Genomic DNA, 15,703 nt, shown 5'->3' with positions numbered 1-15,703 from the left:
AGGACAACACACACTGGGGCCTGTTGGAAGGTATGGTGTTGGAGGAGGGAGAGGATCAGAAAGAATAGCTAATGGATGCTCAGCTTAATACCTGGGTAGTGGGAAGTGCAGCAAACCACCATGGCTCATGTTTACCTATGTAACACACCTGCACATGTACCCCTAAACTTAAAAGTTGGAAATTTAAAAAAATGGTTCTGTCCATTTTTCATCAGGAAAGCAAGTCAGAACTGCAAACTCCACAGACACCCTCACACATACAAAACACAAAAATGAAGATGATACTAGTAAGGACTAAGAACAGTATTAATATTTTTTTTAGTTTAAAGTGCAGTGTATAATGGGAAGAACTGTACTATCCTATGCTATATACCTTCAATACAAAGTACAATAGATGTGCCTTGGAGGGTTCCAGTTAAAATTTCTTTGGATGCTCAATCTGTTGGTGTGATTTAGAGAAACAGGACTCAAGAGAATATGCTCATTAAAACACACACACAAACACACACACAGAAAGAGAGAAAGAGAGAGAAAGAGATTGAAAGAGAGAGAGACAGAGAGAGAAAAAATCGTGTGCATAGTTGATTTGGTGGAAGAATTTTTTGGCTTCTTTGAATTTCCAACATGGACATATAAACAGTTATAGATTATTTTGAGTTGTTGAGGAGATATTTTTAGTGTATTTGCGATGCAGATTTAGAATTCTAATGATTTTCTTGTAGAGGTGTCTTTGGAAAATATTGCTGTATAGGTGGCATAATCACACTTTGCCCACAATCTCAGCACATTCATCATAATATTTGTCAAATATCTTTGTTAATCAGTCATTATATCCTGTTCCTAGTTTCTTCACAATTTCATAGAATGTATTTTTCTTCAAAGTGAATTGATTTCCTGGGTCATTCCTAAGTATACATGCATTTTTCTTATGTATGTAAGCCTCCTTTTACTTCAATAGAGACTCTAGGCATTAACTGAGAATAGATTTATTCTTAAGCTTTTCATAAATTAACTACCAAGTAAGATTCCAATGCCACATAACTAAAAGTTTCAACACAAAAAGAGTGCCAAAAGGGAAGGTGAATGAGGGTACACCAGCATGAGATACCTAATAGCTACTTTGCAAGGTTTACAGGAGTGCAGAAGTAAGCCTTTAGCAGTCCAAGTAAAGAGGTCTTATTAAAGCTTAAAGATCAAGGAGTAACATGTCAATGGGGGAGGAAAAAAATTCTCCTTATTTGGAAAAATTGTTGGCATTTGTGTCATTACCTATTTCCATTGATAGATGCTATTATTATTATTCTAATCTGCTCTATTTAGTAGCATCATTTAAATTATAAATCTTCATGCCAAATGTGAGGAAAGGAGGCATTTGCTCTGTGTTAGTTGCAACATAAACAGAACATGGGAGAAGACACCCCTTTCTTCCCAAGCTGTGTGGACAATATTTTTTTGTAGAACTCTTCTCAATAAGGTGGAGATATTAAAATTAAGCTGCTAAAACAAAAGTTAAAATTCTGAGAGGATAATTCCCTTAACTTGAAAATCAGGAAGTATAACTGATGTATTGATGAAAAACAGAACAAAGGCTGTCACATACTACAGTGTTCCTTTATGCAGGACCTCAATTTTTGCACTAGCACAGAAACTGGCAACCACACTGAGGTATAAACAGTACCTTTTGTGGACCTTGAGTTTGAAATGGGGGATTCTCAAGCAGGGTTTTCCAATCACGATCTGATGTAATTTTTTGGGAATAATAAGAAGTCAAGTATGTGCCATCAACCTGACTATAAATTTAGAGCATTCCTCTGTTGTGTATGCCTTTCTGGCTTCTATATTACCAAGATGCCATCATACTTTAGAATAGTTGGAGGCTTTGGGATATGCATACATTGTAGTTAGTGTCAAATACAAATAATAAAATTAAAATTAAAAAACTGCAAAACAAGAACAATCAAGGTAAATTCTGTAACATAAAACAACTTTGGATTTTATGTTCTTTAAGACTAAACTAGGAACCACAATTGTGGTTCAATTATGTTGAACCACAAACAAAACCAAACATGAAGGTAAAAAGAATATTTGGTTTAACAATCATATATAAAAAATGCAAGTGCCTGTGCTTTTATTGAATGGGAACCTAACTCTGAAGCTGTCACAAAGACAGCTTACTATCACTTGGTGCTATAGTATGGAGCAACTGAACCAACTGGGTATTCGCAAAAGCATTACTGGCACTAGATTTGAGTTTCTCACTTGCATTTCTCAGAACTAGAGTTCTCATAAGACCTTTCAGATAGCTATTTTAAAAGTCCCCAAAGATAGTCTAAGATGAGATTAGAAATTTTACACAATTTAGAAAGGTGCATTGAAAGTGCAAACATTTTTATCAGATGTACTTGGTTGTTCTATGTGGCAAAAAAGCAAAGTGATTTTTATAAATTAGGGTGGCACACAACTTCTCAACCTCGAATATATAACCACATCATTGTGATGGGATGATGGAATCTTTTCTCATATTTAAGAAAATGTTACATCCTCCTATTATCATAGCATACTCAGTCTACAGAGAAAACGTTAAATGGCCTGGAGAAACAATAATCTATTCCAGAAAGCAAATGCCTTCTATTACTTTCACTGGGGAGCACTAGCTCTGCTCCCAGGATCAAGCTATGTGTACAGGGAAAGAGTGGACCTGGAAAATAGCCTGGCTCTTTAAAGATCTAAACCAAACTTTTGGAATTATACCCAGAAACAGATGGCTGGCCAGCTCTCTGTGTAGCTGCTTCATTGTTGACAGAAGCAACTGGAGAACTCAGAAGAAATATGCTTTAGGATCAGTAGCCTATAGTCATGGGTAGGCTGGGAAAGTCTTAAGAAGGTTTCAAACGTGGTTAGTCCTGAATAAAATTCTAAGCAGGAATTTCTGTTTGCAGTATGGGGAGGAGATTCATGCTTCATGCCCTAGAGAATATTCTGATTATTTTCTCCTGCTTTAAAACCAGCTCTCTTCTTGATTTTCCCATTTCTTTTTGTGGCAGTAAGACAATATAGTGGCTAAGAATATAAACACTGACTACCTGGGTTAGAATTTGACCTTAAGCAAGTTATCTAACCTCTTGGAAATTCAGTGTCTCTATCAGTGCAATGAAGTATATAATAATACTTCACAGAGTTGTGGTAAAGATTAAATGACATAATCAATTTAAAGGGCTTAGCGCAGAAATCTGGCATTTACTGTGTTCAACAAATGTTTCATATTAAGGGCACTACCATTTTCCCAGTCTGGAATTCCCATTCATTCAAAACAAAATCTTTTTTTTTTCTAATGTTTCTCCTTCATATGACTTATTCCAGCAGCAGGCCTTGTAAAGAATGGCTCCTAGACTTCTTTGGAAGTTGTTCTTTTGTTTTCAGTGTTTCAATTATCAATATAGTTCACCACCTGTCACCAGGAATATAGACGAGCACCCCCAACTGGTTTCCCAATACATTTGCTGTCAGATTAATCTTCCTAAATAGAGTGCTGCATGTGAAGCCATTGCAAATGTGCTAGTCATTTAAATATTCCTAGTAGCATTGGCTGTGGGTGGACCTATTCTGCTGGTTTGTAGAATTGTTATATCCTACTCCACAGCATAAGCCCAGTGTTCCTACTACAAAAACTGGAGAACCCACGACAAGTACATCATTGCCATTGGTATAGTAATGATGCGCTCTGTAAGGACAAGAGTGTATCTGTTTTGCTCACCACTGTATTCTTATGCCAATCACAGCACAAGGCACATAGTAGATCCTCAGTAAATATTTGATTAATGAATACATGAGTTAATGGGTGAAATGGTATTATAGATACCCTTATTGGTTTAGCTTTATGTGATTGCATTTGTGGTAATTTCAGAAGATCATTCAAAGAAAGTTGACATCATTGCTTGGCATTCAATTACATGCCATGTTCCATTCAGACCAACTTATGATAATTTAGTCATCATTTGGCATGTGAGAACAGGGAAGTCATTTATAAACTTGAATGGTATGCATTCAGATGTAGTTAACAATGTGAGCTAGAATCAGCATAGCAGCCAGATCCCCATTTTCCAAAGACAAGAAAGTGAGAGAAATTGATTCTAGAAAAAAAGAAATTGTTACTGGGAAGGAGAGAATACAAGAAAGAGCCTAGCGGAGAATCATTTTTTTTAGTAGACGGAAGTGTGTTCATTACTGATTTCAACCCTAGGAGCAAGTGGCAGCTTATATTTTGCAGTTCAAAAAATATTCAGGAACTATTTAACCTTCCTGGAATGGATACAGACAATGGGTGTTGTTGCTATTCTATGATCCTAACACAAGTATTATTTTATATATTGAGAAGGAAACTGTGGTATCTGCCAATGTGAGACTGTGCCTGCATCACATATGTCCAACGGTAGCAAAGACCCATACCTAAAAGAGGATGCGTTGTTAACAAATAGGAGATGGCCAAATTCTTCAAAATCCAAAAGAGAAGTTAGATGTCAATTTATGTGACTATTCTTAGAAGTTTAACCTTTTCCAGTAAGACCTATATTCAGGTACTGTGGGATCTTAAGCAGTTCTAGAATGTTAAGAATGGTTGAAGGGTAAATAATAAGAAGAATAATTCTTATAAGCTTGAAACATGCGTATGTTACAGAATAAAATAACAATCCCAGGATAACAAAACATTTCACTCCCTATCCTTTTCATAATAATTTAAAAGGTATTTCCTCTTGCATTATACCAAATAATCCTCACAGCAACAGGACACAAATGAAGAAACTGACATCTGAGAAGACGAAGTGACTTGCTCAATATTATGTACCCAGAAATTGATCACATACTCCCTTGATCGTTATCATAATTTTGATCTATTCATCTGAAAAAATGAAAAGAATCCCTCTCCTTCTGCCCGACCCCATTTCAGGAAAGATATACTAAGATAATACATCACAATCCCGCCCAGAACCTTGCACTTACTAAGTAAATGTGCAAGAGCAACCATGAGTGTGGATCACCGGGCCAGACTAGCACAGACCATAGTGGAGATGTCACAAAGGTGATTGCAAGCGGAAGGCAACTGTAAAGAGAAACATTCTAGGAAGGTGAGAGTTCCTCAGCTTACACTAAAGGTTGCCTGATAAATATTAAATTATAATGGTCAATCTTGAGCAATAATAAGTGAAAGAACATAGGATGCCAATATTTCTAAGCAAACTCAAACATCCTGCTTTTTAAGATTCTGGCCCTAAGTAAGGCACAGGCTCCCCGCTGTTCCCCTCCATCCACCTTCCCATCTGTGGCCTATCCAAGAAAATGAATGCTGTCTTCACAAAGGTCCCACAGTGGAAACAGGAGACAGGCTTCTGAGTCAAGGAAACATCAGTGGGAAAAACGCCAAGTTGGAATTTTTCGGATGAAGGGGTGGCGACTCAACATATTTAAGTCCGTTTCTTAGGTAGATGAGTAGATGGTAAATTCTGTAGCAAAAGCTGTTTCTTTGTTTTGTTTTGTTTGATGCTGTTGTTTTGGTAAGTGCTACTGTCTTCACACAACAGACCTTTCTCCTGTCTTCTGCAGCGGGACTATTTATAAACTGTGTACCAGTGCTACCCCAGTCAGCAACCTCCAAAGCCTGCATTGTACTTGGTAAGGTTCTCTATCAGTATCACTAACCTGGAAAAACTGACTGTGAAGAAACAGCTTGATTATACTGGCTGCACATGTAAATGTTCCAAGAATAATTTCTAACTCAACCCCTTTGAAGTTATTGTTTTTTCCTCCATTAGATCGGTATTAGCATCTGGCTAAATTTTGTATCCTCCACCTCCACCTCCACCTTCCTGAACACATAAGTACTTATACACACACACACACACACACACACACACACACACGTTTTTTTTTTCCCCCTGCAGGTTTCACAGCTGGTGGCTGAACAGAAACAGTCTCTGGGTTGAGACTTTACACTGGTTTCCCTGACCTGGAAGAGTGAAAAATCTAGATTATTTCAGGAATTTATTGTAAGCTTTCCACCCTTCTCTGTCTCATCATGTCTTATCTACAAAATGGGGTGTTGGGGAGGCAGGAGCCCTATCTTTCTGATCTAGCATCGCCTTAGGTTGAGATATTAAAATTTCAAAACACAAGCAAGCAAATAAAAAAAATAACAATTTGTTGAAAGAATCAACTGGGTAACTATAAACAGGATTCTAGGTGTCCTTTAAAAGGAAGATATTATTATCAAGGAACAGAACCTTTGTAGAATGGCGCTTTGGGGGCCTGGGTGGGTCCAGAACTAAGGAAGTTTGAGTTACTGCCAAGCTACAGTCCCAGGCCCTGCGGGGAGTCAGGTCCAAGTTTGAGAAAACAGTCATAGTCAGGGGCTATTGTGGCCTGGACAGAGGCAGAAAGACACGACACAGCAGGCTTCCTTCCTGTCTTGCTCTTATCTGAAGTTGCAGAGAGTGGGTGGGAGTATGCCTGAGGTGCAGGTGAGGCACGTTTAGCCTGAGCCGGCCACGGACTCCACTTCCCCTGCTCTTCCCCCAGTGGCAAATCCGCGCCACCTCGCAAACCCCCAACTCAGGCACTTGGGCCCCTTTTGGGCCCCCTCTCGCTCCTCCCTTTAGGCACCTCCCTGGGCCCGCCCACGGTCTCCCCCCAGTTTGGGACTGCGTCATAAGTATCCCAGACCTCGGCTTGCAGTAGTGTTAGACTGAAGATAAAGTAAGTGCTGTTTGGGCTAACAGGATCTCCTCTTGCAGTCTGCAGCCCAGGACGCTGATTCCAGCAGCGCCTTACCGCGCAGCCCGAAGATTCACTATGGTGAAAATCGCCTTCAATACCCCTACCGCCGTGCAAAAGGAGGAGGCGCGGCAAGACGTGGAGGCCCTCCTGAGCCGCACGGTCAGAACTCAGATACTGACCGGCAAGGTAGCTGTCCCAGGGCGGGATGGGGGAGGGGTGGGCGAAAGAAAGAAGGCTGGTAGCAGAGGAGAAAATGTAGCTTCCCTGGGAGGGCCCCTCTTGCTCCTCTTACGCTGTCTCTGGGGTTTACCCGGTCGCCTCGGTTCTGTCTCCTTGCGGCACCTTCTGCTTACCGCACCCTCTGTCACTCTGCATTCCCGCGTGTCGTGCCATGTTCTGTCTGTTCCAGCTCACACCAGCTGTCCTGGAGGGAGGTCAGAGAGAGTTTGAGGAGATGCCCTGGGACTCCTTGTCATTGTCTCTTGGGTAACGTGTAGGGACCTGGGGATCAAGGAGGGGCATGTCGCCCAGTCCCCACCTCCAGGGGCGCGCATAGTCTCCCCAGGGACAGAGGGGACACAGGGGGGTGAGCAAGACCGGGAGATTTAACATTTCTTTCTTTCCTTTTGGTGTGGATGAAGTTCTAAGACTAAATCTTTCTATGATCTCTGAGTGTTCGTGGAGGTGGGGTGAGCAGCAAAGGGCACTTTTAACTCCAAGCAGTATGGGTTGGGGCAAGTGGTCTGCTTGAGCGCGCGAATATTTTCCGTTTCTCTCTGGTCATAGGTGGCTTTAAACATTAGATAAAGAAGCTGTCAAAATTGAGGTGGATCTTAATGCCAGTGTTGGGTGTTCACTGTGCCCTTTTACTGCAAGAGCCTTGTATATTTTTAGAGTGGTATTTCCTAAAGAAAACACTCTTCTCTTGTAAAAATAAATTTGAGGATACTTTTCAATTATTTTTAAATTTTTTTCTTGTTGAACAACATCCCCTTCCCTCTATTTAGAGATCTGAAGCAGGTCCAGTGTTGTAATTTAAACTACTAGCTTTGACAGGAACTGGGGAAGCTCTTCCCCAAAATGTTATCCATTATTTATTTAGTCCTATTTCTACTTCTTTTAAACACCTACTATGTTTTCAGGGTTCGTATACTACTCCTCAGTATAATCTCAATTTTAAAGGGCAATAGTATTGTCTTCGTGTTCTATGAAATCTGGAAAGTGTTGGCGCTTGCAGATCTGTCCTGACTTGTCTTGTTCTCTATATAGTTTTAACTTCTGTGTTCAAAGTGGAGATATAAAAAGTCCTTTGAGTTAAATGAGAATCCATGTAGTAAAAGTTGATTGTACACACAATTTGAAATGTTAATGTGCTTATCCAGCTTTTTATTATGGAAACTTTCAATATTAAATCCTGCAGTAAAACTAGCTTTTGTGTGTTATACATTTTAGAGCTCAAAAGTAACACCCTCTTGCATTGTTGAGGTTTTGATTAAATGACAGAGGTCAAATATGTAATTGTTCTCCTGCTTAGTTTGTAGGTTAAACATGGTCAGATTTTTTGGGAGGTCTAATTAGAGGCCAGTAGTTAAATATAGCCACACAGTAATCCTTTTTTTTTTTTTCTTCACCGCCAAGCATTTCATGACTTGTAGATAGATTCAGTTAATATGCAAGCAATACTTCTGCCAGGATTGTGGGTGCGATGAGGAATAAGCAAAACTGAGCATTTGCACTTTGATTATACTTTGCTGTTACGTTTTGGAGAAAACTTAACAGGATCCTTACCTGGCCACTATAGGACACTGATAATAATATTTGACATATTGTGTTGTAATACATTGATCAGCTAGCTCATTAGAGGTTGAGCATGACAAATATGATGTCAGACATAGTGTACAATCACTTCGAAAGAGTTCCAAGAGAAATTAGCTATGGTAATTGATGGCTCACACCAACCTAAAGTCCAATAAATGTAAATGAAAACAAAAAATCCTTATTTCTAGGATGTAACATCTTATGAAATTGAAATTCTAATACTTAGGCCTTGCTTAATAAACTTCCTGAATTATTGAAAGAATAAATGAAATTACAGTGCAAACTGTTCTTCTCATGTCTCAGTAGCAAGAAAAAATAAATTTATTTCTCTTAGAATTTCAAATTAAGCTATTATGTGACTTATGAGCAAGTTACTTTATCTTTATGAAACTCATTTTAGTCATCTAAAATATAATTTTAAGTCTCCAGTTCTAGATTATTGTACAGTAATTCCAAATCAAAATTTATAGTTCTATCTTTGTAGTGCTAATCTTAGTTTAGGTTTTTTTTTTTAATAAAAATAATTAAAAGTTCCTGAAAATTACTGGGACACAGAAAAGCCTTCAAGGTTTATAGAGTACTAATTAGTGGAGGGTTTGAACTTAAATAAATTTAGTTAAGAAAATGGGAATCTCAAATTTCTTTGACCTTCAAAGAAAAATATTTTTGGAAAAATAAACATTTAACAAATGATTGTCCTTTCATCTTCTGCATTAACTTGAAATCTATGCATTTGTTTTCACCAAATGAATTTAAGGTTAGTTAGCTCTGATAAACATTGCAGTAGTTGTCCTGAAAAAGAGCTAATGACCTAAAAGACTAAAACAATTCGATTTATATACACGTTTGAATGATTTACTCTTTAATGATCAGGGCCTAGATTTGCTTACTTCATTTATTCAGTCCTTGAGTAACAATGCTGCTTAGGATGTATTGTGACATACAAAAATGGGATTAGAAAGATTGGAGTCCACTGCCCTGGGAAGGGCACAATCAGTTGCTTGTTTGCTTTGGATCTTTCTTGTTTCAATCCCGAAGCAAAATATTGATTTAACAAAATATTACAGTCACTGTTACCACACAGACAACTTTTGTGTCTAGCTATCGCAAATGCTACACTTCAAAATCAAGTGTTTCACCCAGGACGTGGAAAATATTTCATTCATGCAATACACAGTTATAGAATATTGATCGATATTAAGAAACTTTTATTTCTCGATTAAATTAGGAACATTAAATTTATATCTCTCCCTTCAATATTTTAATTTCTAAAATATGGGGAAAATGGCATATACCTTATAGAACTCCTACCTTTAAAACCTAATTTTCAAAAATCAGCTTTTTGAAAAATCAGTTAATAAATTAATCAAAGGATACTAATTCTCTTTTAAGTTGACAAACTGATTTGGAAAAAATAATGAAGAAACAGAACCATATCCCAGAAAGTTAGTGATTATATCAGTGTACTAGTTCAAAAAGTAATTACTTCTGTTTACTGAGTATAATTTCTAGAGATCGGCTCTACTGCATTGTGCCTATTGTTAATACTATATTATACATTTAAAAATGTGTTAAGAGTCAATGTCGTGTTAAGTGTTCTTAGCACAGTAAAAAAGAATATGACATTGCATAAATAAATGGTAATTTTAATTTGATTCTTGATGCATGTATTTTGAAATAATTTCATATCGATATTTGGGTTTAGAAATGCCAAATGGAAGGTTAATATAATCAGAGACATTTTTTAACATCTATTAGATTCAGAAATTGTCTTGAAATAAATTCAGACTACAATTAAAATGAGTTAACATTTAAAAAAATATCTTGGGTTTCAAGGGAGGTAAATTGTACACAAAATCAACTATGTGTCTAAAAGTACAATCTGGTTTTGTTTTTGGTTTTGCTTTTTAATAAATAGGAGCTCCGAGTTGCCACCCAGGAAAAAGAGGGCTCCTCTGGGAGATGTATGCTTACTCTCTTAGGCCTTTCATTCATCTTGGCAGGACTTATTGTTGGTGGAGCCTGCATTTACAAGTACTTCATGCCCAAGGTAATAATAATAATTATAATTATTATACTTTGGATTACTACTTGCTAGACATTTAGTAGCAACTTAAAAAATTCTGTAGTGGTGACTAGAGAAAAGAAGATTTAGGGAAAGTTTTCAAGTTGCCTTTCAGTTCATAAAATTGATTTGTCTTCATTGTGATAACTGTAGTCAACAAGCCTCGGCTTAACACATAGTACAATGAATTGATATGAGTGTGAAAAGCCATTCAAATATCATGATAGTGATTATTAGAAGGTTGTAATTTTCCCTTTTTGTCTTTTAGAGCACCATTTACCGTGGAGAGATGTGCTTTTTTGATTCTGAGGATCCTGCAAATTCCCTTCGTGGAGGAGAGCCTAACTTCCTGCCTGTGACTGAGGAGGCTGACATTCGTGAGGATGACAACATTGCAATCATTGATGTGCCTGTCCCCAGTTTCTCTGATAGTGACCCTGCAGCAATTATTCATGACTTTGAAAAGGTGGGCTTCTCATTCTTATAAATATTCCAGGATTTTTTTTCTCTCTCTCTCTCTTTTTTACTTCATTGGCAGGTATTAAATTCATTCATGAATGCACATGTTTTTGAGGCAAAGCCTTTTCATTCTTTTGTTGTTGAATACACATTAGTTGATTTTGAAAGGATGTAGCCGCTTAATCTAATGGTAGTTGGAAAATTCGCAATGTTAATGCCTTCTGTGTCTTACCTGACTTTTTTCCCCTACCTAACAGGGAATGACTGCTTACCTGGACTTGTTGCTGGGGAACTGCTATCTGATGCCCCTCAATACTTCTATTGTTATGCCTCCAAAAAATCTGGTAGAGCTCTTTGGCAAACTGGCGGTATGTATTTTGGAAGTCAAATTTTTATATAAGCATTTCCAAGTAATTTTACTTCCTTGTTTTTTAAAAAAATAATGAATTTGTCCAAAACATTTTATTTTATTGAAATAATTTTGAAATAAAAAACGTTGTGAACCTAAAACTGCTCTAGAAAATAAAGATTATTTTTTACAGTCATTATCTGGTGTAGGAAAGGATTTAAATAGTGTCCTTAAGAATTTGGGCAAATGACATGAACAGACATTTTCCAAAAGAAGACATACATGCGGGCCACAAACATGAACAAAAGCTGAGCATCACTGAACATTAGATAAATGCAAATCAAAATCACAATGAGATACCATCTCACACCAGTCAGAGTGGCTATTACTAAAAAGTCAAAAAATAACAGATGCTGGTGAGGTTGTGGAGAAAAAGGAATGCTTATACACCATTGGTGTTGGTGTAAATTAGTTCAGCCATTATGGAAGATGCTGTGGTGATTTCTCAGACCTAGACAGAAATACTATTAGACCCAGCAATCGCATTACTGGGTGTATGCCCAAAGAAATATAAATAATTTTATTATAAAGACACATGCACAAGTATGTTCATTGCAGCAATATTTATAATAGCAAAGACATGGTATCAGCCTAAATGTCCATCAATGATAGAGTGGATAAAGAAAATGCGATACATACACACCATGGTATAGTATGCAGCCAAAAAAAAAAAAAAATCACAAAAAAAAAACAAGATCATGTCCTTTGCAGAGACATGGATAAAGCTGGAGGCCATTATCCTTACAAACTAACACAGCAACAGAAAACCAAATACCGTATGTTCTCACTTAAGTGAGAGCCAAATGCAAAGAACACATGGTCACATAGAGGGGAATAACACACACTGGGGCCTTTCAGAGGGTGGAAGATGGGGGAAGGGACAGGATCAGGAAAAATAACCAGTAGGTACTAGGCTTAATACCTGGGTGATTAAATAATCTCTACAACAAACCCCATGACACAACTTTACTTAAGTAACAAACTTGCACTTTTACTCCTGAACTTCAAAGTTAAAAAGGAAAAAGAATTTCTCATTTCAATCTTTGCTTTTGATTTTTAGAGTGGCAGATATCTGCCTCAAACTTATGTGGTTCGAGAAGACCTAGTTGCTGTGGAGGAAATTCGTGATGTTAGTAACCTTGGCATCTTTATTTACCAACTTTGCAATAACAGAAAGTCCTTCCGCCTTCGTCGCAGAGACCTCTTGCTGGGTAAGTAACTAATGTATTCCTTCCTTCACCCTGTGTTACACAGTGGAAGAAAGTGGAGGTAGAATACAGGAAAAAGTGGGGAACAAGTCTGGATATATTTTCATTTCCACAAAAATTTCAAAAGCCACTTTTTTTGCACATTTCCTTACAGGTTTCAACAAACGTGCCATTGATAAATGCTGGAAGATTAGACACTTCCCCAACGAATTTATTGTTGAGACCAAGATCTGTCAAGAGTAAGAGGCAACAGATAGAGTGTCCTTGGTAATAAGAAGTCAGAGATTTACAATATGACTTTAACATTAAGGTTTATGGGATACTCAAGATATTTACTCATGCATTTACTCTATTGCTTATGCTTTAAAAAAAGGAAAAAAAAAAACTACTAACCACTGCAAGCTCTTGTCAAATTTTAGTTTAATTGGCATTGCTTGTTTTTTGAAACTGAAATTACATGAGTTTCATTTTTTCTTTGAATTTATAGGGTTTAGATTTCTGAAAGCAGCATGAATATATCACCTAACATCCTGACAATAAATTCCATCCGTTGTTTTTTTTGTTTGTTTGTTTTTTCTTTTCCTTTAAGTAAGCTCTTTATTCATCTTATGGTGGAGCAATTTTAAAATTTGAAATATTTTAAATTGTTTTTGAACTTTTTGTGTAAAATATATCAGATCTCAACATTGTTGGTTTCTTTTGTTTTTCATTTTGTACAACTTTCTTGAATTTAGAAATTACATCTTTGCAGTTCTGTTAGGTGCTCTGTAATTAACCTGACTTATATGTGAACAATTTTCATGAGACAGTCATTTTTAACTAATGCAGTGATTCTTTCTCACTACTATCTGTATTGTGGAATGCACAAAATTGTGTAGGTGCTGAATGCTGTAAGGAGTTTAGGTTGTATGAATTCTACAACCCTATAATAAATTTTACTCTATACAACCACTGTTTCTTTTATTTCATCACTTGAGATATAGTCAATGTGAATAATTAATATTACTTATTTAGCTTTTGGTGTACCTGTAACAGATCTAAAATTATGAGGCCAACTTTGCCCCCATTCCCACCTACACATATTTATATGTTATATTTTCATATTTCACTCCCTTTTGACAGTATATTAATTACTCTTTTATAAACATCCCATAATTGGCTTATCATGTAAATTCAACTATTTATTTAGAGGCTTCAGGCGCATAGCACTTTAAAATCTTTTGAAGTGTTTTCTTTCTCATCAAATTAAACAACTATACACAGCTATAATGGATCACTAAGGACTAACCTTGGATAAGATGTTGATAGCTTTTAAGAACTTCAAATGCTGTGATCATTACTCATGTATCTAAGAGTCTAAACTTCATACCAAGGGGACATGAGTACTATAAACTATTTCCCTTGTATTAGGTGAAAAATCGCTCCTGATATCCCTTATTACCTGCTGGGATACCAACTATTGGTCAATTTCAGTAGCCAAAACTACTTAGTCGAATCCATACCCTTAAATACTACCATTATTTTTTAATGAAATAAATTAAACATTTAACTTTAAGAACTTAGAAATAAAGCGATGGCACAAACAATAAAGCATACAGAAAGCAAAATGCAGTATTTAGAAGATAATAACAGTAATTGATAAATTCAAGAACTGGCTCTTCATAAAGAAGAATATGTAAAAAGAGTCTGATAAAATTTAACACCCATTGCTTGTCTTAAAATATGCATAGAAATTTAGGAAAAAGGAAATACACTATTTCCAAATTTATCTTAAATAACATCACAACTAATGGTACAACACAGGAAAGGATGTTGGCTATTGAAGCTATTCAGTGTTGTTCCAGACATTCTGGCCAATGCAATAATATGTAAAACAAATAAAAATATAACTTTTAAAGGAGGGTTAAAATTATGTTTATTACTAGATAGATTTTTACATATAAGATATTAGTGGAATAATCAAAACTTTAAAAATTAATGAGAAGATTCAGTATGATAGAAACAAAAGCCAATTACTTTCCTTTATACCACAAACAACCAATTAAAGGGAAATACCACCAGGTAAAAAATATTCTCACAATAGCAACAGGGACATCAAGTAGCACCAACAAGAAATTTATGGAATTATTATAAAGAAAGCCATGAAACTTAATTAAGAGATATAAAATAAAAGTTAAGTAAATAGAGAAGAGAGGAAGAACATTACAAATAGACAAATTCTTCCACAATTAAATTTCTTGTTTTAAGCAATTTCAATTAAAATCCCAAAATAATTGGTTTTGGAACTTGGCAAAATTATTTGAAGTTTCATCTGGAAGCATAAATAAGTTAGAATCACTAAAGAAAAAAATGAAAAAAGAGTAATTGGAGACAGGATGTCTTACATGAACAACTATTAAACCACAGCCAAATTCACAATAGTTTTAAAGGTAACTTTCACACAAGATAGAAAATTATGATGCCAAGAAAGAGATTCTAGTGTGTAAAAGAACAGTATCCTAACAGAAGCTCCATGCAACGAGATACATTGTATATCCAATTTTGCCCCCAAATCTGGCTAAATGAAAACAAACAAACAAAAAAGTCCTAGTGGCCATCGTATAAAATAGCATAAGGGTAACAGCCCTCCAAATGCAGCATCTCCTAAATTTTTACTACTAATGAATATTTCTTAAAAGAGAAAAACCTTTAAAAATGCTAAAAGTATAACTGAATGATAACCTGATGCTGGCATCCATGAGTAATAGATATCTGACAGAGACTAGCTCTCTGATTGTTTTTCCAGAAACTCAGAGCCCCAAATCTGTCAAAAAACCAAACAACGCATATTCTCACTCATAGGTGGGAATTGAACAATGAGAACACATGGACACAGGAAGGGGAACATCACACTCTGGGGACTGCTGTGGGGTGGGGGGAGGGGGGAGGGATAGGTTTAGGAGATATACCTAATGCTAAATGACGAGTTAATGGGTG

At 36.5% G+C, this 15,703-nt stretch overlaps 1 protein-coding gene and 1 pseudogene across 2 annotated transcripts; both read left to right on the top strand.

Moving 5' to 3' along the window:
* Positions 3,883-4,674, top strand: CORO1CP1 (CORO1C pseudogene 1; annotated as a pseudogene).
* On the top strand, positions 6,725-13,675 carry ITM2A (integral membrane protein 2A). Of its 2 annotated transcripts, NM_004867.5 has the most exons (6): positions 6,725-6,954; positions 10,505-10,636; positions 10,920-11,117; positions 11,368-11,478; positions 12,580-12,730; positions 12,882-13,675. In NM_004867.5, the coding sequence occupies exons 1-6, from the start codon at positions 6,844-6,846 to the stop codon at positions 12,968-12,970; spliced, it is 792 nt and encodes a 263-aa protein (NP_004858.1). In that variant the 5' UTR covers positions 6,725-6,843; the 3' UTR covers positions 12,971-13,675. The 2 variants fall into 2 exon arrangements, with proteins under 2 accessions (NP_004858.1, NP_001165052.1); NM_001171581.2 differs by lacking the exon at positions 10,505-10,636.

This window comes from Homo sapiens, chromosome X, assembly GCF_000001405.40.
Source record: "Homo sapiens chromosome X, GRCh38.p14 Primary Assembly".
Classification (NCBI taxonomy): Eukaryota; Metazoa; Chordata; class Mammalia; order Primates; family Hominidae; genus Homo; species Homo sapiens.
The sequence above is the reverse complement of the archived record's forward strand: the minus strand, read 5'-3'. Positions and strand labels throughout refer to the sequence as shown.

Coding starts and splice junctions, on each gene's coding strand:
- ITM2A (NM_004867.5), top strand. CDS start 6,844: ATGGTGAAAATCGCCTTCAATACCCCTACCGCCGTGCAAAAGGAGGAG. Junction 10,637..10,919: donor ACAAGTACTTCATGCCCAAG/GTAATAATAATA, acceptor TTTGTCTTTTAG/AGCACCATTTACCGTGGAGA. Junction 11,479..12,579: donor AGCTCTTTGGCAAACTGGCG/GTATGTATTTTG, acceptor TTTGATTTTTAG/AGTGGCAGATATCTGCCTCA.